Here is a 23,861-nt window from a genome sequence, read left to right as displayed (position 1 = left end):
TTTGCAGCAGGCTCTGGCCTCCTGGGTGTGGCCCGGGTCTGCATGAACCTCCCAGGCCGGGGATGGAGCCCTGCGGCTCTGCCAGGGGGATGCTCCCTCCCTGTCCTTTGAAAATGTCGGCTGTGAAAACAGCACTGGCAGGCACACTCTCTGCTCACACAGAAAGCTCCTGACTCAGCTGTTTCTCGTCGATGCTGGCAGTGTCCCCCGGGACGGGGAGGGCAGGCCGTGGCCAGGCCAGCCACGGAGGAGGCTCTGGGTGACCTGTGGGGCCATTTGCCACCCGTCACTCCAGGTCTGCGGTCTGCCGAGCCACCACCTGCACCTTGTGCTCTTCCAAGATGGAATTCCGGGGGTGGGCACTGGGCAGCTAATCACCAATTGGTGATCGAGCTGCCGTTCCCATGGTGATTTCCCATCGAGCCCACACACCCTGGGCTCTCATCCCCTCCCATTCACTGTAACCTCCATTAAGTAGAAACAAAAGATTAATATGGCAGAAGCCATTTAATGAACTCGGCAGTGGTGCAGAGGCTTTTAGCTTTTTCCTGGAGTGGATTCCTGGAACAGCAAGGCTGGGGCCCCTCAGCCCCTGCAGGAGGTGCCACAGGCTTTCCCGGCGTCTGATGTCTCGCCCCATTGTCAGACTTCAATTGCAGCAAATGCCTGCCCAGACAGTCTCCTGGTTTAGGGGAAGACCCCCTTTCTTTACGTCTGTGTGTAATTCATTTTATCTGTTCACACCAGGAAGGGAGGAAAATAGGAAATCAAAAGAAATGAAGAATGATGCAAACTTTCTCTCCCAACAGGCAAGGGAAGGGAAGAAGGGGGCAGTCAGAGATGGGCAGCGTGTGGAGAAGCAAATTGGGCATCTGGAGCCCCCATTGCTTGCCACTTGGTATGTGGTCACAGAGCACACCACCTCCTGTGGTCCTATTGTGAAATAGGATGAAGTTGGGGCCCCCCAGCCAGTGTGAGGCTTTAGGGGTTCTGAACAGTATCTGCAGAGATGCTCATTTAAAAGGCGTGGGTGGGAAGGGTTCATATCCATATCCTACATTGTATAAGCGCCCACCTTCTCTCCTTTTCTCAGTTCATTTTCCCTCCCCACTCAGCCATCTCTGATGGGAGCCAGTTCTGGACTGGGGCCCTGAGGAGGGAAGTGACAGAGCCGCAGCACTGCCATCTTGGACACACACTGCCATCTTGGACACGCACGGCCATTTTAAGTTCCCTTGATTAAAAACCGCCTAAATCCAGCCCCAAAACCTCAGCCTAATGGTTAATGTCAGCATGACCAGAAACATTCCAACCCTGAGATAAACCCCTCTCCAGCCAGAAACATGCCAATCCCAAGATAACCTACCCTCTGACCAGAGACATGCCAGCCCCGCAATAAACTTTCCCTCACACAGAAACATTCCAAGCCTGCAATAAACTCCCCCTTCCTAAACCCTTAAATACCCTTAGTCTCTAAGAGAGAATGCTCCTGATGGAAATTGGCCAGGAGCCCCTCTCAGGTTTATTCTCCAAAATAAAACTGTCTTTGACTGTTGAGCCACTTTTCATGTTTCTTTCTTCTTTCTTTAGCTCTATGGGAAGGCCTTCCTGTTCTGTCCTGACCACATGCACCTGCCCTACCTGAGTGGTGTGGATCTCACATGAAACTCTGGCTTCTTGGGAAGGGGCTTCCAGGGCTGGCCTGTTTGTGGTGTTCACACAGGATCCTAGTCTGTGCCTCCTGTGTGAATGCAATTGTCCCTGAGATGACCTACCGAGAATCCTCTAGTCCCAGAATGGTCAAAAGGCCTTTCAGGGAATATCTCAGCCATGCATGCCAGCTAGCAATAAAAAGAAATAAGGCTTCACTGTCAAAGTGAAGTAGGAGAAACAGGGAAAATAACTAATTATGAAAGGGATAAAAACAAAAATACAAGATCCAGGGCCCCTGGTGGAGGCTGACTACGATGGGAGGGGTTTTTAGCAACAGAAAGCCTGGGTCCAAACCTCCCCTCTGGTCCCTGCTAACCATGCAAGTTCAGGGACTTGCTTGACCTCACCAGCAGGACCATTCACGGATGAGGGTTATGTGCGCCAAGCCTGGCCCAGTGCAGGTGCCAGTCAGTGACTCATGCTATTTTCTGTTTTCCTGTCTCTTGTGCTCTCACCCTTGTCTGACTCTCCCTGACCAAAATCATTGTGGAGGGGAGGAACATCTCCTGACACTTCCCCCAGGCTGCTGGGAACCCCATGCTCTGGCAAAACCATCGCTTCTCTCTCCAGCCTTAGTTTGGTTTCCTCTTTGGTAATGCTGTCTGTGTGCAGGGCTGAGGAGGAGCTGGACCCTGGATGGTGGGTGTTAAGCTTGTTGGGTTGTTTACCAGAACTAAAGACCAATGTTTCCCCAGTGATGACCACAAATTGTAGCTGAATAAGGGATGGAGTCAGAATCAGAGAAGTAATGCCTGACGATGGCTCCAGGGGTTGAATGCGGAGCACGGCTGGGAAACCAGGCTAGGAGCTGTGGAGGAAGTAATCAGAGAGACAGGCTCTGGTCCTGAGATATGTCTTCTCACTGAACTTCTGGGTTAGGCCCCACTGGCCTCAGTGAAGTCAGGAAGGGATAGCAGAAGCTGGGAGGCCCATCCAGGGTGGGGCTCCAGGTTGTGGCCCCTTGAATCTGTGCCCAGAAAAAATTTTTCTTCAGTAATTGAAATTGCTGGGTAACTTATTTTTAGTTCAAACTAAACTCCCTGTAATCATTATTTTTAAACTACAGAGCAACTTCATATTTTATTTAGTGGAATAATGGTCATGTGTTGATTTGAAAGCATTAAAAATAAGAGAAAGGCTGTTCTGGACAGGTGCAGTGGCTCACGCCTGTAATCCCAGCACTTTGGGAGGCTGATGTGGGCAGATCACCAGGTCAGGAGATCGAGACTATCTTGGCTAACACGGTGAAACCCTGTCTCCACTAAAAATACAAAAAATTAGCTGGGCGTGGTGGCAGGCACCTGTAGTCCCAGGTACTCAGGAGGCTGAGGCAGGAGAATGGCGTGAACCCAGCAGACGGAGCTTGCAGTGAGCTGAGATTGTGCCACTGCACTCCAGCCTGGGCGACAGGGCGAGACTCCATCTCAAAAAAAAAAAAAAAAAAGAGAAAGGCTGTTCTGATACAGACGTCAGAGAAGAGGCCAATCTCCCTTCCACTACTACAGTATAGACACACTTTCAATGAATAGCTTGTCATTCAGTCCAGGAAATATTTTGTTTATTATACCTCAAGCTGCACAATGTTGATGATTTTTAAAAGTCCTCATAAAAGGATTTATATATAAGCAATGTATGAGACTTATAAAATTAGTGCCATACAGGCTTAAAATCATATATTCACAAAGTTGGAGAAAGACAAATTAATTTCTGCACTTTTCGTGCAATTTACACTAAAATCTGACATGCTTTTCTATGAAAGAAAAAAAGATGCCACTTCTAAGTTTCTAATTCCTAGATGTTAGACTTCTCTGAAGGTGAATTCACTTATTTTTAAGCTAGTAGCAAATTTAACACTCAATCTAAACTTGCAAAGCTGTTTTTGAAAGTTCATTTTCACTTCAATTGCAGAACTGAAATTCTCTCTGTAGGGGCACCACTGGCAAGCAGGAGAAGTGGTACCAAAGCCTGTTCCACAGCTAGTGCTCACCCTGGCAGCTTTGCTGAGAGCCCTTCTTAGGCATGTCCAGTCTAGGGGGAGATGTTTTTGTTCTCACCACAGCACCATGTGGTGACATCCGGAAGCTTGGGATCTCTGCAGCTTCTCCCAGACACAGTGACTTTCCCGTTGCTCCTGGTTAATGATGCAGCAGAGCCCTGGGCAGGGAGGCCTGTGCCTGATATGCAGAACATCACAGCTAAGCAAAAGCTGTGGCTCGCTCCAGATGGGCAGGGCTGGCTGCGGCCCTCGCACCAGTTCAGCAGGATTTGCCTCTGTTTCTGTGGTCCATTGCCACACCTGCCCCAGACACTCCCGTCCAAGCACTCTGAGTCTGAGTTCTTCAGTGGTCTCTGACCTGTCTGCCAAAACCCTACTGAGGAGATTTGAGGAATGGCAAGGTCCACATGGCAGAGCCTCAGCACTTTGCTGGTCAGATGGCCAACAATGATGGGTGGAATTTGAAACAAGAGGCCCAGATGGGATCGAATCCCAGGAATACCAAAGAAGTGTCCTCAGGATTTGTATAATCTCGTTGTATAGATGACCCCTAGTCCTAATCCAGGACCCATATTCTCTGAGTGGATGATTGATCTTTTGAAAGAGCCAGTGGTTTTCCCACAGTGGGATGCATCACATTAAAATTAATCAACAGAATAGAAATTAAAGCTGAAACTAAGCTGAACATAAATTATTATCTTCTTTGGGGAGACACCTACATGGTCCATGAGTGCAGTGTGTGAAGGCAGTGGTCCCTGCAGGTTTCCAGCACCAATGCCTCCCTGCTGGATGAAGACGTGTAACCATGCAGGCCTTCCAGGCCAGGGTCTCCTCTTCTGTGAATGGGGACAATGGCACCCTTCTCACAGGGCTGTTCTCAGAGAATGGAACTAAAGTGCTCAGTGAGCACCGAATTTTCAGTGAACGTTAAGTGCAGAGAAGCTCTTACTGTCAGAAGAGTGCAGAAGGCGTTTGTCCGTCCTTCAGGTCCTGGAAGTGAGTGGGTATGGACTCCCCACACAAAGGTCCCTGGGGAAAGGATGGTCTCAGCAGATGGGAGCTAAGTGTGGAAAGCTGAGTGTATGGAGCAGGACAGAGGCACTCACCAGGACTGAGTCTACTGCAGAGTTAAGGATTGGGTGGAACTGAGCGAAAGGCTCTACCGCCCAGAATCTCTACTTCCACACTGGGAAGGTGGGGAGAGCTTTTCGTAGAAGACAGATTTATTCTGAGAATTGACTGAGACAGCGTGCGTGAAAGCCGTCAGCAGAGCCCGTGTTACTGAGGGGGCTGCACGCGCTGTGGAGGGGTTGGAGAGTGGAAGCCCACTGCTCTCGTGTGCCTGGCTGTGGGCTAAGCTGCGGGACTGGGGTGGGGGTGCAGAGGAAATGTGGCCTGTCACCCCAAGACTCAGCCTGCCAGCGAGGGACTATCATGCCGTTTTCTTGCTTTGCCTTGAACTCTCATGTTGTGTACAATGAAGAATATAAAGACATGGACTTCTGGGTATGAGCCTTGTGTACGGACCCCAAAAAGCCAGAAAGTTTGAGTTTGGAAAGGTAGTATGGTGGCTTTGACACCAGGCAAGTCAGTGGCAGCCTGGGCAAGCCAACACTTCTGCATTTCCTGAATGTTTAAGTCAGTCTCACAAGCTTATTTTGAAAATTAGAGATAATGCCTGTACAGGAGCTGACTCCTGAAGAGCACTAGATATTAAAAAAAACCTGTTATTATTGTAACCAGAACCAACGCAGTTCTCTGCTCCAGCCTAAGGGCCTGGCTCCACAGGGTGGCATCTACTAGGAGCTAAACACAGCCCCAGCAAGCGAGAGAGGAATGTGAACATGTACTGCCTCGTCTCTGGGGGAGCGAGGAAGAGGGACAGGCCAGAGTGCACCACATACAGGAAGGACCCTTATGCTCCCTTCATCTGGTCCTCTCCCTGAATGCTGTGGCTCACAATGGCTGTTCATCACCATCATCTCCTGGCACTCCTACAACATCTCTGCCCCTGTGTCACTCCCCTCTCACATCAGGCCTCTGATAAAACCACTTGGTCTGCTTTCATCTGCTCATCTGCATCTCCTCTTCATGCCTCACCCACCCAGCACAACTAGGTCCTGACCTAATGCTGACCAAGCAGGCAAGGGATCTTTCCTCCGAGAGCAGAGATGGGGACGCTCACTGCAAATGCATACATGCATGTATAGATGCACACGTGTGTTTATACACACATTCAGACATGCACACATGCACATACACACACATGCGCACAGAAACACATGCACACACATGCACATGCACACACGCACAAGCACACACACACATGCACATAAACATACACGCACACACACAAATGTATATATCTTTGTCCCACGATCCGTCCTTTGTATTCTTCACCTATTTGTCTGACCCCTACATCCATCATTAGATTTCTCTGTCTCCAGCCCTCACTCAAACATCCCTCCCTTTGCTGCCTTGGCCAAGCTCTGCCTGCTAAGGACTCCTACCCCGGGGCCCCTCTGGTGCCCAGTGGTCTGCAGATGTGGCCTTGTACTTGTTACATAACTGTCTGTTTCTCCTCTGACTCTGTGACTAGAGAGTGTTTCAAAGGCAGGCACTAGGTATGAGTCATCTTTGCCTCTGCAGCAATTTCTACAATATCTAGGGCATAGTAAACTCTCATATAATGAATCAAATAATGAACAAATGAAGTAAATAAAATTACTATATGAATAATGCAGGGAAAAAAGAACATTGCTGGTATGTATATAATTAACTCAAGGATATGATTACTACATATGAACGCAAGATATTGTGTAAGTCAGAAAGTGACGTGGCTCACTGTCAGATCAGGGCATGTACAGATTCCTGTAGTATAAACGCCACAGAAAATATGTGCTAGATTAAGCCCAGCATCATTTTTTAAACATCTTTGAGATGTCAGTGATGTACAGTAAAATACCAAACCATAAGTGTACAGCTTGTTGAAGTTTTACACATGTGTGCTTGTGTAGCCACCATCAGATGAGATACAGAACACAACCTCCACCAAAAAAAAGAGAGAACACAGTGTGCTTCTTCATCAGAGAACCACTCCAGAGCACTGCTTCTAGCAATCATGGACCATCTTTCTGAAGGAAAGCCCATCCCAGGTGAGGCTGGAGAGCAGTGAGACCTGTTTGTATCTCACCCTGAATCCCAGTGCCCTGTGGACCAGGCTACCAGTGGATCTGTGTTCCTAGAAATGACATGTTGAAGTCCTAACCCCCAGTATTTTTTAATGTGACCTTATTTGGAAATAGGGTTTTTGCAGGTGTAATCAATTTAAGATGAGGTGGTTAGGCTAGTCCCTCAGAACCTTCCAAAGGACCCGACCTGCAGGCACATTTGGTATGCCTTGGCTGTGTCCCCACCCAAATCTCAACTTGAATTGTATCTCCCAGAATTCCCATGTGTTGTGGGAGGGACCCAGGGGGGAGGTAATTGAATGATGGGGGCCAGTCTTTCCCCTGCCATTCTCTTGACAGTGAATAAGTCTCACAAGATCTGATGGGTTTATCCGGGGTTTCCACTTTTGTTTCCTCATTTTTCCCTTGCTTCTGCCATGTAAGAAGTGCCTTTCACCTCCCGCCATTATTATGAGGCCTCCCCAGCCATTTGGAAGTGTAAGTCCAATTAAACCTCTTTTTGTTCCCAGTTTCAGGTATGTCTTTACCAGGAGTGTGAAAATGAACCAATATGGTAAATTGGTACCAGTAGAGTGGGGTGCTGCTGAAAAGATACTGGAAAATGTGGAAGTGATTTTGGAACTGGGTAACAGGCAGAGGTTGGAACAGTTTGGAGGGCTCAGAAGAAGACAGAAAAATGTGGGAATGTTTGGAACTTCCTAGAGACTTGTTGAATGGCTTTGCTCAAAACGCTGATAGCAATATGGACAATAAGGTCCAGGCTGAGACGGTCTCAGATGGAGATGAAGAGCTTATTGGGAACTGAAGCAAAGATGACTCTTGTTATGTTTTAGCAAAGATACTGGCAGCATTTGTCCCCTGCTCTAGAGATTTGTGGAATTTTGAGCTTGAGAGAGATGATTTCGGGTATCTGGTGGAAGAAATTTCCAAGCAGCAAAGCATTCTAAAGGTGACTCGGGTGCTGTTAAAACCATTCCATTTTCAAAGGGAAACAGCCTAGAAATTCAGAAAATTTGCAGCCTGACAATGCAGCAGAAAAGAAAATAATAAAAACAGTTTTTGAGGAGAAATTCAAGCCGGCTGCAGAAATTTCATTAAGTAGCAAGGAGCCTGATATTAATCCCCGAGACCATGGGGAAAATATCTCCAGGCCATGACTGAGACCTTCATGGCAGCCCCTCCCACCACAGGCCCAAGGCCCAGGAGGAAAAAGTGGTTTCATGGGCTGGGCCCAGGGTCCTCATGCTGTGTGCAGCCTAGGGACTTGGTGCCCTGCATCCCAGCCACTACAGCCACGGCTGAAAGGGGCCAAGGTAGAACTCGAGCCTTGGCTTCAGAGGGTGGAAGCCCCAAGGCTTGGCATCTTCCACGTGGTATTGAGCTTGCCAGTACACAGAAGTCAAGAATTGAGGTTTGGAAATCTCTGCCTATATTTCAGAAGATGTATGGAAATGCCTGGAAGTCCAGGCAAAAGTTTGCTGCAGGAGTGGGGCCCCCATGGAGAACCTCTGCTAGGGCAGTGCAGAAAGGATATGTGGGGTTGGAGCCCCCACACAGAGTCCCTACTGGGGTACTGCCTAGTAGAGCTGTGAGAAGAGGGCCACCATCCTCCAGACCCCAGAACAGTAGATCCACCAACAGCTTGCACCACGTGCCTGGAAAAGCTGCAGGCACTCAACACCAGACAGTGAAAGCAGCCGTGAGTATCCTGCAAAGCCACAGGGGCAGAGCTGCCCAAGACCATGGCAACCAACCTTTTGCATCCACATGACTTGGATGTGAGACATGGAGTCAAAGGAGATCATTTTGGAGCTTTAAAATTTGACTGCCCCCCTGCGTTTTGGACTTGCAAGGACCCTGTAACCCCCTTTGTCTTGGCCAATTTATCCCATTTGGAACGGCTGTGTTTACACAATACCTGTACCCGCATTGTATCTAGGAAGTAACTAGCTTGCTTTTGATGTTATTGGCTCATAGGTGGAAGGGACTTGCCTTGTCTCAGATAAGACTTTGGACTGTGGACTTTTGGCTTAATGCTGACATGAGTTAAGACTTTGGGGGACTATTGGGAAGGCATGATTGGTTTTGAAATGTGAGGATTTGAGATTTGGAGGGGACCGGGTGGAATGATATTGTTTGGCTGTGTCACCACCCAAATCTCAACTCAAACTGTGTCTCGCAGAATTTCCACATGTGGGAGGGACCCAGGGGGAGGTAATTGAATCACGTGGGCTGGTCTTCCCCGTGCTAGTATCGTGATAGTGAAATTAGTCTCACGAGATCTTATAGGTGTATCAGGGGTTTCCACTTTGGCTTCATCCTCATTTTTCTCTTACTGCTGCCATGTAAGAAGTGCCTTTCACCTCCCACCATGATTCTGAGGCCTCCCCAGTCATGTGGAACTGTAAGTCCAATTAAACCTCTTTTTGTACCCAATTTCGGGTATGTCTTCATCAGCAGCATAAAAAAGAACAAATACAACGTTGATTTTTGACTTCTGACCTCCAGAAAGGTGGAAGAATAAACATTTGTCCTGTCAAGCCACCCAACTGGTGCTTATTATGACAGTCCCAGGAAACTAACATACACCCATGATGTGTGCCTCTGACAGCTGACACCTTGCTTGCATTTGTTGATAACTGTCTCGCAAACCTACTGTCTTAGTCCGTTCTCATGCGCTGTAAATAACTGCCTGAGACTGGGTAACTTATAAAAGAAAGAGGTTTAATTGACTCACAGTTCTGCAGGGCTGGGGAGGCCCCAGGAAACTTACAATGATGGCTGAAAGGGAAGCAAACATGTCCTTCATATGGTGGCAGCAAGGAGAAATGCTGAGCGAAGTGAGGGAAAAACCCTTATAAAACCATCCGATCTCATGAGAACTCACTCACTACCATGAGAACAGCATGGCGGAACTGCCCCTGTGATGTAATTACCTCCCACAAGATCCCTCCCCCAACATGTGGGGATTATTACAATTCAGATTACAATTCAGGATGAGATTTCAGTGGGGACACACAGAGCCTGACCATATTACCTACTATGCTCAGACTCGTGAACAATTGGTAATTGTGGGTACAGTGAAACATTCAACAATCATGGAGCTAAGAGCCTCAGGGAACCCTCATGTTGTCTCTCCCATACCCATGTTCTGTGAATAGCTGACTAGTTAAGAGTCAGATATGTTACCTATTTTGATGATGCTTTCTCATACCAAGGTTTTACTCAAAACAAAAGTGACAAAGTAGCAAAATTCCATACCTTTTCTATTCACTGGTTATCTGGAAGAATAACCCATGGCCCCTTAGCCACGGGATTGCTATAGGATTATTTTCTAGTTATCTGCATGTCATTAGATGTCTTCCTCTGATCCTCCATGTCCTCATCAAGTAAATCTACTTCTTATTTTGAAGGAGGATGGTCACATGTCAATCAACTTGCATGGTCTAGTAACATCACTTATTCTCCAATGAGCATGGATATATTTTATTCATTCATTGAACTGGCAGATAATTATTGTCTACCAAGACCCTAGAACAGTAATCAGCAATGAAGAGAATATCAAGAAGTATCTATGACACCTGTTTTTAGAAAGCACACCTTGTCATTGGAATGGCACAAACTGTAAATTAAATATAGAGAAAAATTTTAAGCCAAATGTTTAGAATTTTCTATAGATTTCATTCTTGAAATCTCTGCAGATCTTACTGGTTCTGTTCAATGTGTAACACACTGTATTCCTTGAACAGAAACTTCCACTGGAAATCTTCATTGCCTGTTGGAAAGAGCATTTAGACTTGGAATCACCATAAGATGGAGGAGAGAACTCTGGGTGTTGCATTAGGGATCTCGTGGTCACCATGATGCTGTTGTAAACATTGGACATATTTTCATGGTAATCAATTTATCTGTGGTTTCATGGTTATACTTAGCCTGAAAATGCTGAATCATATAGAGACATTGAGAGCTTATCTGTGAAGGACAAGCATTCATAGAATAAAATTTGTGCAACTGGTAAAGAAGTCCTTGTTCTTTTCTGAAGAGTCCAGAAGTCTCGTAACTGCATCTGCTCCAGCCAGGTATGCCTTATGCTGTGTACCGGTCACAGCCCTTGTTGGCAACCTTTCTCTCAAGTTAACACTCAATCCTCTTAGACCATTGAGAATGCAGTACATACCCTCTCCAGTGGAAAACATTTTTATCAGCACAAGTTTCCAAACTTCTTTTTCATATGGATTCAAATCCCAATTAACTGTACAGAATTTACAGCTGAGAGTTATATTAAACTGTCTCAGGTAGGCTATGCTACAGCCGAACCATCTAATAAATTCAAATTACTTTTAAAGTATCTAATCTTATTAATAATTTATGGTATTTCAGAATATAAGCATGTTCCTTTGGTCATAGTACATGCAAGCACTCTAGCCACTATTGACCTGAAAACATAGAAATTAAATTTAGTTGTCTGAAACTCATTCTTATTTTTAAAAGTTTGCACTGATCAAGTTATTGGATCTCACCCAGCAAAGATAGGTCCCTTTCTGTAGGTAATTCAGAAAGCATTTGAAATTGTAGAAAGAATCCAAGAAAAGCACGTAACACGTTCATGCCTTTGCTACCCCACCTGCTCTGCTTGGACGTGTGTCTCTCCTCCCCCCGTCTAGGACACCTGACAAATCTTTCCCCTGAAGCCCCGCCTCCTCCCTCTAGTTCTTCTGTGTTCTCATTGCATCCTGTATGGTCTTTTACTGCAACACTTTGGTTATGCATATCTGTTTATACATCTCTGTCTCCCTTTGATACTCTAAATACCATTACACAGGGACTATGTGTTATTTGCATGTGTGGCTGTAGCACCTATGATTGATGCCTGACACACGGTGGAAACACACACATAGTTTCTCATCAAATGAATGAATAAATGAATGGACTGTATGGACCCCCAAAATTGTCTTGCAATGACTGAGGTAACCTAGCATCATATGACTCTTTTACAGAATTATAGCTTAACCCATAATGATCCCCTCCTCTGTGCAAGGTGTGTGATTAACACTTCAATGAACATGTCTGACAATTTTCCTTGTCTGAGTTGAGGAAATATGTGAGAAGTAATTGCATTTTCTCCTTTCACCATTTTGTTTCATCATTTTCACATAAATGGTCATGAGGTTGAAAGAATTGCGCAGATGTCTAACTGCTTGAAGGTTTGTGGAGGCATTAGGTTTTAATGCCTCAATAGAGCCCTTTATAGCCAACCACAGGAATTAATCTTCAGAGTTGATTAATGTTTGGATATAGTCTACTGTCTCAATCATCTCTACCTAGAATTAGATGGGGAGTTACAAGACAGGCAAATTATTTTCTCTATGTCCCTGTTCCCACTTACTCTTCAGCCAGGTTTTCCAGAAGAATGAGACTCCATGGAGCTGGATCCAGAGTGCCCACCCGGCAGCTGTGCTTGCAGAGTGCCCCCATCCCAGGAGCAGCAACTGTGCCATGGGATTGAGATGCTGACAAACCTAAAAAGCATTCTTTTGGGGCACCTGACAGTACTAGTTATCTGACATTGGGATTTCTGCAGAATTACCTAAGTACCAGCCAGAAAAATAAAATAAAATAAAATAAGAAAAAAAAATCATTTTTTGTCCCCAAGTTGCTAATGAATGGGAATGTCCCATATCTCCTCACTTAGGAGCAAAATTGTAGAAAGCTTCCCCAGAAAAGGTCATCTTATTCAGGTAGAAATGGTTTTTGCCACGTAGGAAGGATATTTTACTTACAAATGATGAGTTCATGTGTATCAGTGGGTCTTTGCTCTTGCTGCTACTATAAGTTGCCAAGCAAATCCTCTTGTCTAGATATTTTGAATCAGAATTTTCCAGTCTTTGAGCAAGAGCAGAGCAGAATTGATATTTTATTCACCTTGTGTCCTTCAAGGTAATAACAATACCTGGAATGTTGAGGGAAAATATTAGTTTTTAAAGTTTCAGGAAATTATGGAGGAAATTGTGTAGATAAACCATCAGAATCCTAACACCTGATATAAACTCATCCATCATTTCCCCTGTGCATATTTTCTCACATTTGAAACCAAAAGAGAATCCACAAATAAAAGAAAGACATTTTATTTCACATATTTGGTAAATATGTTGAGTCTTTCCATAACTTGTTAATATTTTTAGAGGTGAGTAAAAAGCTTGATGTTGTTAAACAGCAGAAATTAGGAGGCTTCTAAGGCTAGCAAGAGTTTAGAAATGATTGGATTGGTAGCTGACATTAATTACTTATACTGACTCATAAAAATCATTGTAGAAAAATTTCTCAAAGAGCCAAAATCAATCAACCAACACATATTTAGTCCCATCATAGGGCTAACACTGAGTCAACTGTGTGAGGTACTTTGGTCATAGGGTTTATGCTGCCAGCGGGGTTACAATTAACAGAAAGATATAAGATATGCATCTTAAAAATATTTAGGCCAGGCACAGTGGCTCATGCCTGTAATCCCAGCACTTTGGCATGCTGAGGCAGGTGGATCACAAGGTTAGGACATCAAGACCAATCCGGCCAACATGTTGAAACCCTGTCTCTACTAAAAACACAAAACTTAGCTGGGCCTTATGGCATGCTCCTGTAGTCCCAGGTACTCAGGAGGCTGAGGCAGGAGAATTTCTTGAACCCAGGAGGCAGAGGCTGCAGTGAACCGAGATAGCACCACTGCACTCCAGCCTGGGCAACATAGACAGACTCCATCTCAAAATAATAATAATAATTAAATAAGTCATTGCCTTTTGTAGGACAGATAATTCTAAATTATAGCATGATGTCATTAGATGTAAATCGTGCATGGACTAAAAAATATCAAACCATACAAAGATAAATCAGACAGGAGTCTCTCTCCCAATGAGCTGTCTTTTAGGGAATCATCTCACAAAGGTTCTGGGCACTATGTTTGGTAGATAGCCTAATGAATGCAATAGTCATACAAAAATCATCAGAGTTGGAAGGTGCATCCGTAAAGGTATGGTCAAGGCACAGAGCAGAGGGAGTGGGGTGGGTTCCAAGGCGACTTCACAAAGCGGAGTACAGCCTGAGCTGGATTCGGAAGCTAATCTGGCCATCTTGGGGCAAAGGCAAGGGTGCACAGAGAAGGGGCCACAAGGCATCTTCCAGAATCTGCTTAAATGTGGTTGACTGCAATGAGGAGTTCAGGGCAGAGGTGCTGACTAATGAGGGTGAAGAGCACGTCAGCCAGGGTTCTGCAGAAAGAAACACGTGTGTGTATATGTTTGTGTGTGGGTTGAATAAGCAGATTTATTATACATAATTGGCTCATGTGATTATCATGGCTGGCAAGTCCTAGGATCCACAGGGTGAGTCAGCACGCTGGAGAACCAGGAGAACTGATGTGTAGTACCAACCTAGGAAGACCAAATGCTTTCGTTTGAGTCCAAAAGAAAAAGAAAAAGAAAAGAAAAGAAAAGAAAAGAAAAGAAAAGAAAAGAAAAGAAAAGAAAAGAGCCATCCACAGGGTGAGTCAGCACGCTGGAGAACCAGGAGACCTGATGTGTAGTACCAACCTAGGAAGACCAAATGCTTTAGTTTGAGTCCAAAAGAAAAAGAAAAGAAAAGAAAAGAAAAGAGCCAATGTCCCAGTTTGGAAAGTTGCCAAGCAGGAAAAATTATCTCTTACTCCAGAGAGGGTCTTTTTGTCCTATTCAGGCCTTCAATGGATTGGATGAGGCCCACCCATGCTAGAGAGAGAAATCAGTGTTTCCAAGTCTACTAATTCAGATGTTAATCTCATCAGAAAACATCTTCACAGAAACAACCAGAATAATGTTTGAGCAAACATCTGGGCACCCATGGCGCAGTCAAGTTGACACATAAAATTCACCTTCACAGAGAGGTTGAGTCATGGATGGCCTGATATACCCTGGCAAGACGTTTGAACTTGATCTTCTCTGTGACAGACAGGAGCTATCAAAGTTTCCAGCTACGAATGATGTCATTGTGTTAGCTGGTGTGCAAGCTGGTGCTACTGCTTTGTGGAAGCAATTCCACTTAGATGCCCTAGGCTGATATCACTTCTAGATTACCGGCTTCATGAAATAAGTGAAATTCAGCTTAAGAGTTTTAAGTCTTTTTATTTATTTATCATTTGGATGGGCAACAGGCAGAAGTGAAAAAGGCCCAGTTGCCCAGAATTCAAAAGTGCAGATTACAAAACAATAGAGGCCAAGAACAACAAGTGTGGAAAAAGCATATAAATACCTATATACACACATAAGTATATACATAATACACATGCATATGGACATGGACACTCATACATGCAAATACGTGTTTATATTCAAAATATACAAGCATACGATATTCATATACACATTCCTCCCATTCTCCTTAGCATCTTAGAACAGATAAGATGACATATGCTAAAAGAAAGATGTTTCTAATGAATTCTTTTCCTTTCTGAACATTCCTCCTACAAGAAAAAAGTCCAGTCTTAAAATCTGTCTGCTGAGAGTTTTGTACACAACAGACACTGTGATCAGCACTTTACATTTATTTTCTTAGTTAACCATCACATCGAATGCTGGAAGGAAGTTCTCTTCTTGTACTAGTTGAGGACAATGAAGAAGTTCACCTGAGATTAAACAGTTTTCTATAGTAACATACAAGCAGAAACTATTGTGGACAGAAAACATGTTGAGTTGGACTTTTCGAAGCCCTTATATTCAACCTGGAGGAAACCTAGCAGGAAGGCATGAGGTCTTCTGACTTCCAACGTGGAACATGTTTCAAAGACAACTTACTGACTCATCACTTTACAGGGAAGGAACTCACCCAGGTTAAAAGGTGGACAGAGTGAGACCTGGAATTTGAACCAAGCCCCCAGATCATTTACCACTGGCTTACAGCTTCATAGGGGATGGTCACACAAGTGGGCAGCATTAGACCTGGAGCAGGAGCCAGCCTCCTGCCTCCCAGCCTAGTGCTCTTTTCATTACCCCAAAAAATTCAGGGTTGCTTAGACATAGTGTAAAAACAAACGTTTTGACTAAACCAGAGAAGAAGCAAATTTGAATGTCACCTTGTACAAAATCGGGGCCTCAGAGAAGTCCTGTGTAAGTCACACCTTTGGAAATGCAATTGCTTACGGGCCTTTCACTGGGGCTCTGGTCATTCAGTGTGTCCGGTGGCTCTTTGACTTTACCTTTCTTTTCCTCTCACCTGTAGTCAAATAACTCATATTTATAAGTAAAATATAAAATACTGTGATGCAGAGTAGTGAAATTTGGATTCATGCTGCTTTAGAGGTCTGTGAACCAACAGCAATTACACCAGAAATTGAGGTGTGGGAGGATGCATGTGTACTTGGGTTGTGTGTTTCTAAATTTTGAGGTGATAAAATACATACTGTTTTTTTCAACTTTTAAAGAAATGTATCCAAAATGACAGAAAACACTAAAGCATGGAAACTTTCAGGCCAATAATGGTAACTGATGGAAAAATAGGTATAATTTTTTATAGTGATAGTTTTAGCACATAAGTTGTGTTATAATTTAGACAAGAAGAAAAAACTTAGAAGTAAATGAACCTGACCATCTAGGCACATTCTGTGCATTTATAAAGCAGCCTAGAGGAGTTTCCAGGGTTAGGACAGCAAAGCCCGTCTAAACCCCCTTCACTAGTGCCCCAGGAGTCCTGGGGTCTTGGTTCTGCAGGACCTCAACACTGACCTATTCCAGTGTCTATTCAGTACTTTGATTGTTATTGTAACTCTATGCACCTCTGTGCTCATCTCCCCTCATGACTTCTCACTCCCACTTTGCAAGCCTTTGATTAAATTATGCTGCTCCTTTCTTGAGGTACATGCTGCTGTCCTATGGCAATTTGTCCCATGATATGGTTTGGCTGTGTCTCCACCCAAATTTCATCTTGAATTGCAGCTCCCATAATCCCCATGTGTGCTGGGAGGGACCAGAGGGAGGTAACTGAATCATGGCGGCTGGTCTTTCCTGAGCTGTTCTCATGATAGTGAACATGGCTCACAAGATCTGATGGTTTTATAAAGGGCAGTTTCCCTGCACATTCCCTCTTGCCTTCCACCATGTAAGACGTGACTTTGCTCCTCATTCGCCTTCCACCGTGATGGTGAGGCCTCCCCAGCCATGTGGAATTGTGAGTCCATTAAACTTCTTTTCTTTCTAAATTACCCACTCTCAGGTATGTCTTTATTAGCAGCATGAGAACAGACTAATATATCCCGATCCTCCCCTCCAGGGTTACACAGATCTATCCAGTCCCCTTCCTCACGATGCCACATTTCCCTGTGTCCACCCTCCTCCAGGTTCTAGTCCTCCTCTTCTTTCTGTGACCATCCCATGCCTTGCTATTTGGTCTCCCATTGACATCTCATCAGGTGAAGACTGACACCAGACATTAGCCCTTATCAGCTCAAAGAGGATGGGAGGGCCATCATTCATTGACTCATAGCCAATAAATAATCATTTCTTCATATTCTCTCTGGAAGACAGGGAATTTCCCTTATGTCTCACATGTCCAGTTATTTTTATGGACACAAAAATAACATTTTATATTTTTCCGTAATGTATTTTATTTTGAAGTTCACAGCCTTCTACAACAACCCTCCCAGAGGTAGCCACTGGAAAATGCCAAAGAAGGCAACTACGAGCCCAGAGGGGAGGCCTGGTAGGGCCTTACCTGTTGTGACAAATTTGACTACTTTTTATTTCTTTTGTTATATTTGTCCAAATTATTGTTCTCCTTGTTTTTGACTGGCCTCATTTTCTACCATTTGCCCACATGTGGCTAGCTGTGGTGTTGGAATATACTTTAGCATGAAGTTGGGAAAACTATAGGAAAGAGGGAAGAAAAAAATATGCCTCATTCCTTTGAAGGTGTCACCGTTCTATTCACCTACTTGTAAGTTTAATTCTAATTTCCCCTTAATATCCCTGTTTTCTGCCTCCAATGTTCTTTACCTTTTCTGTCTCTTTCCTCCTCCTTTCTAGCTACCAGCTTCCCTTGAAAATGGCTTGTCAGAATTCTAGATAGAGGCACAGGATGAGGGGCCACTCTACATCATGTCATGAAAGGGACCCGCAGGAGGTAACTGAATCATGGGGGCGGGCCTTTCCCGTGCTGTTCTCATGATAGCAAATATGCCTCACGAGATCTCATGGTTTTATAAAGAGCAAAATCTAATGGTTTTATAAAGGGACACAGGACGAGGGGCTACTCTACATCATTTTGCCCCACTCGGAACCCACAGTCCTGTACAAGGAGTAAAGGCCCTGGAGCACGATGTTAACTTTCTCTACAGAAGTGTCTTGTTGCATGAAACGTGGAACAAAATGATCGTAATACACATCACTAGCCAAAATAATCCAGAGGTGCCAGCCTATTTAAATATTCTCATTTTAGGACAAAAATTGGAGGCTTAAGAGATACTTGAAAATAGTGATTTTTATTTAAATTCAACATTTTCTGCTTATGTTGACTGTGACTACAGTCCCATAATGTATTCCTAGGCTCCAAATATGAGTTATATTAAACCGTTTTCTGAGAAAAGTGCAACATAATATGTCTTTTATTCCCATGGGTTCCTCTTCATATTGCCTCACCACCAAAAGACCAAAAATACATTTTAATTAATAATAAGAAGAATTACTATGAAGTTATTAGTGACTTTGTTCATATATGAGAAACAGGACAGTTTTAACATGCAATACATTCCTTAAATAATCATTTTATGGATATCCGAAGTAATTTACAAAGGTAAAAATTGATAACGTGCAATTCTCAGTCATGTCACGCATCATTGATTTCACCTATAAACACTTACTACACTTGTAATTAACCAAGTTAACCATATTCATAAAGATTGTCAATAGAAAGGGAAAGTCCTGTTTTCACATAATAAAAAATTACTTTTTTTGTTTATTTTCCGGTATTCTCTTCTGCTCCATATATGCTTAGAGTTTTGATCCCCTGTGTGTTCTCTGTATTTTCAGCAGAAAGAATAGTTTCTCAAAGGAAATATAGATGGGTGGGGGAGGGAACTCGACATGTCTTATATTTTTTAACATTCTATACCTAGAATAAAGCTGATATATGTATTGTATTGAAATGACATTACTCTGCAAATGACATCATTATATGTTTAGAAATTCCAAACGTTTCTGTAAGCTATTAGAATTAAAAAGTCAAATTTCTATATAACAAAATAAAAATTAAAAAATGTTTATAGTAGCAAAACAACTCACATAAAATATATAAAAATAAATCAAACAAAAGTGTGTAAGACCTCTACACTGAAAACTATGCAACATTAATGAAAGCAATTCCACTGCTGGGTATATACCCAAAGGAAATTCAATCAGTAAGTCAAAGAGATATCTGCACTCCTGTGCCCATGGAAGCACTACTCACAACACCCAAGATATGGAATCAATCCAAGGGCTCATTGATGGATGAATAGATAAGGAAAATCCATGAGTTCATCGATGGATGAATAGATAAGGAAAATGTGGTATAAAAACAAATTTCAGCCTTAAAAGAGAAGGAAATCCTGTCATTTATAACTACAGAAACCTGGAGGGCATTATGTTAGGTTAAATAAGCCAGGCACAGAAGGACAAGTATGAGGTAAGGTCACTTATATATGGAAGCTAAAAAAGGTGAACTCCTGGAAACAGGCAGGAGAACGCTGATTGTCAGGAGCTGGTGGGAAGGGGGTTGGGGAGATGTTGGTTAAGAGGTGTCAACTTTCTGCTACACAGGAGAAGTAAGTTCAAGAGACCTATTGTACAACATGGTGATTCTACTTAATAACAGTGTGTCGCACACTTGAAAATTGCTGAGAGAAGATTAAGTGTTCTCACCACAAAAAATAATACATATGTGAGGTAATGCATATGTTAATAGCTTCATTTAGCAATTCCACGATGTCTACATATTTTTAAACATCGTGTTGTACATCCCAAATGTGTATAATTTTTATTTTTAAAAACTGGCCAGGTGCAGTGGCTCATGCCTATAATCCCAGCACTTTGGGAGGCCGAGGTGGGTGGATCATCTGAGGTCATGAGTTCAGGACCAGACTGGCCAACATGGTGAAACCCCGTCTCTACTAAAAATACAAAAATTAGCCAGGTGTGGTGGTGCACAGCTGTAGTCCCAGCTACTCGGGAGGCTAAGGCAGGAGAAGCGCTTGAACCCAGGAGGCGAAGATTGCAGTGAGCCGAGATTGCGCCACTGCACTCCAGCCTGGGCAATAATAGAGAGAGACTCAATCTTGAAAAACAAATAAATAAATAAGTAAATAAATAAGAAGAAAAGAAATTATATACCTAAATATACAGAGATATATATTATGCTTATAGCTTAAAAATAATTACTATATTAATTTCAATTTTTCCCCCAACAATCTGTACATATGATGCAATTACAATTAAAATTCTAGCAGGCTTTTTACAGACTGTTGAAAAATTGTTCCTAAAATTCCTGTGGCAATGCAAATGGTCAAGGCAATCTTGAAGAACAAGAATAGAGCTAAGTTACTGAAGCTACCAGATATTCAGATCTGATCTAAAGCTGCAGTAATTAAGACAGAAGAGTCAGATAGAGAAACAGACCAATAGAACAGAACAGAGTGTAGAATCATCCCACACACAAAATTCACCTGGCTGATGAGAACTGTGGTGCTGCAGAATGTGGACAGGCAGGAGTCGTTTTAATAAATTGGGCTGAGTAAACAGGAAAAAGCAGAAAATTCATCTTAACCTTCACTTCACCAATTCACAGAAACAAACCAGATGCGCTGCACATCTAAATGTAAAAAATGAAACAGTAAAACTTTTAGAATACATAGATCATTCCTATGTTTTGGAGTAAGGAAACATTTCTTAAATAGGACAAAGCTATGAACAAAATATTAATACATTTGACTATAATAAGATTAAGTACTTCTGTTTATCAATGGGCATTAAAAGAGTGAAAAGACAAACCATAGAGTTAAATGTTTGCAATGCATCCATCCAACAAAAGATTCACACAGAGATATATAAAGAACTTGAATGAATCAATAAGAAAAAAAGCAAAGAAAAATCAATAAAAAATAGGGAAGCAAGTTAAATAGCTATTTCATAAAAGCATGTGAAGATGGCCAATAAATATGTTCAAAGATGTTGAACTTCCCTTGTCACCAGGAACATGCAAATTACATTTTCAGTGTGGCATTGCTGTATGACCAACAGAAAAACTAAGATGAAGAAAGACTTTCCATGCTGCGTTATGTAGAAGGCATGGAAGCACCAGGACCCTTGTTCATTTCTGGTGGGTGTACAAATTGTTAAAACTTTGGAAAAGAGCTAGGTCAGTGTACACAATATTATTAGCAGCACTCTTTATCATAGCTCAAAACTGCAAACTATCCAAATACCCAGCACCTATACGATGGGTCCAAAAATTATGACAGAGCCACACAATGGAACTCTGAAGCAATGATGATGACTGGACCACAACTTCCTGCAACAATGTGGATACATCTCAGTAGCAAATGCCCCATAGGAGAGTGCACGGCCTCAGTTTATTCTACAAATTCCAGAAACTGGCAAAATCAACCGATGGTCTTGTGGGTCAGGACAGTGGTTACTCTTGGAGGAGGTAGTAATGGAAGAGATGGAGGGTGGCTTCCCGGATCCTGGCTGTCCTCTGGTTCTTGATTAGGGCTCTGGTGAATACAGGTGTGCTCCGTTTGTGAAAATCTATTGCACCATATGCTGTACACTTAGAGTTTTATAGTTTTGCTTACAGAGGCTATTCTTCAATAGAAGATTCCCCAAACTGAGTTCATATCAAACAAGATAATTTGATGAATTTAATGATTCTTTCAAACCTTTGATTTCTAAAACCAATTTTTTTGGCTTACTGGAGTTCAGAATTCTTGATGTTGCATGATAACCTTGCTCACATGAATCAGTTTAGACAAGCAATATTCACTCTGATTCCTAGAGAGTATTCAGTGTAAAATTCACACATTCACACACTTTTTTAGTACACTACTTTCAAGGTCTCAATAAATTTTGGCATACCTTCCTCTGTGACAAGAGGCATTTTTATGTGAAAGCTTGTACCTACATCATCTCTCAAAATGAAATGCAGATTGTGCTACATTTACATAAATGTGGTTACACTTGGGTCTTTTTAGGTCAGTTGTATAGACAGTAATGAACAAGGAAGTTCGTCAGTACCATTTTAGAAAAGTGAACTAGGCTGGTCACGGTGGCTCACGCCTCTAATCCTAGCACTTTGGGAGGCTGAGGCAGGTGGATTGCCAGAGCTCAGGGATTCGAAACCAGCCTGGGCAACATGGTGAAACCCCACCTCTACTAAAATTACAAAAAAATTAGCCGGGCGTGGTGGCGTGCTCCTGTAGTCTCAGCTACTCAGGAGTCTGAGGCAAGAGAATTGCTTGAACCCGGGAGGCAGAGGTTGCAGTGAGCCGAGATGGCGCCACTGCACTCCAGCCTGGGTGAAAGAGTGAGACTCCATCTCAAAAAAAAAAAAAAAAGATAAATTAATCAACTCCTGAGGAAATCGGAATGTTTTCTAAACAAGGTACTTTCCCTCAATAGGTATGAATCTACTTTTATTCCATGACACAACATGAAACTTGCTGTTTCTATGTGTCCCTCCCTCCAGCCTCTCCAGGAGAGGTGTGCGGTCAGCACCACACACCCCACATTCCCCAGGCAAGTGTTCAGGAGGTGAACGGGGCCCAGGTCCAGGCTACCCTCTGCCTTGGTGTGGGATACCTCTGCTCCATGCAAGGGGTGAATTTTCTTATTTGCAAAACATATTATGAGGGCCAGCCACATGTTATTACCTTTACTCAGTCCCTCTCTCCTATGTTTTTAAACAGTGATTTCAAGACATTTAGGAAAATATAGATTCCCCTTCTTGACACTTTGAAAGGGTTAGATGGTTTTGGTTTACAATGGCCTTATTATCTATGAATATCTTGTTCTGATCATGCATCAAAAAAAATGATGTCAAGCATATAGAGGTGATCTATTTTCCTATTCTGTAAGATGATTTGACTGCTGAAACAATAAATAACTATGTCCTTCAAATCTCTCTTTTTTTCTGCTTGTCCTTGTTTCTTTAATAGTGTTGATCTTTTTACCTACTCTTGCCAGTTCTCCCACCTCAACCTATGTTCATTCACACACACACACACACACACACACACACACACACACTCTCACCCAGCTTCTACCCCAAATCATGTGATAAGCATTTCTATTATTGAGATTTTTTTCTAGCACTTACACTTGTCATTTTTTACAGTCTAGTTTGGTGTTATGTTTCTTGTACCTGAATCGTGGAACTGTCTTTTTACTCAGACTTAGCTACGTATACAACGGCCCTGGCAAAGAGGAAGTCTGCCAAGCCATGGAGCGCTGAAGCAAATCCACGGACAGCCTCTTATTCTGGAACGCGTGTCGCTCTGATGCTGTAGTAATTAGGTGAACTTGAAGCAGTACTTGGATTTGAGAATTGTCCTTGAGTGTGTTCTGCAATAAATTATTTAAGTGAGATGTGGAGGAACTAATTGGTTAATAACCATAATTGGGATTAAAGAGTAATTTTGATTTTTAAAAGATGCTTATAAGGATAAATATTCAGTTGTCTCATTTTGCTATTAAAAAAAATAAGTCTCCTTCAATGACTTCATATAATGGGAAACACAGGTGGGCTAAATGCTACCCTCGTGTTGAGGTGACTAGCCGTTGTCAAAGCCCCTGCTGGGGGCAGGCTACTGGAGGCAAGCTGTTTGCCTGTGCTTTGCCCTAAGGATATTGACTATTATTATTTATGATTTATGTTGCTCAGTGAATGTACATTGTGCAGAGCAATAGATTAAATGG

General features: G+C 43.0%; 1 long non-coding RNA gene across 1 annotated transcript, besides 1 other annotated feature; it reads right to left on the bottom strand.

Moving 5' to 3' along the window:
* Positions 1-488: 488 nt before the first annotated feature.
* On the bottom strand, positions 489-23,507 carry LOC105373389 (uncharacterized). Its single transcript, XR_922726.3, has 4 exons — positions 23,308-23,507; positions 20,612-20,757; positions 12,681-12,850; positions 489-734 (listed from the first exon to the last, which is right to left on the bottom strand). It is a non-coding gene; the product is annotated as an uncharacterized LOC105373389 (long non-coding RNA).
* Positions 3,674-3,723: a silencer, noted in NCBI's record as "silent region_11105". NCBI's record gives its function as "represses an Ori minimal core promoter by ATAC-STARR-seq in GM12878 lymphoblastoid cells {active_cell/tissue: GM12878}" and the evidence as "EXISTENCE:reporter gene assay evidence [ECO:0000049][PMID:35858748]".
* Positions 23,508-23,861: the final 354 nt, after the last annotated feature.

This window comes from Homo sapiens, chromosome 2, assembly GCF_000001405.40.
Source record: "Homo sapiens chromosome 2, GRCh38.p14 Primary Assembly".
NCBI lineage: Eukaryota > Metazoa > Chordata > Mammalia > Primates > Hominidae > Homo > Homo sapiens.
The sequence above is the reverse complement of the archived record's forward strand: the minus strand, read 5'-3'. Positions and strand labels throughout refer to the sequence as shown.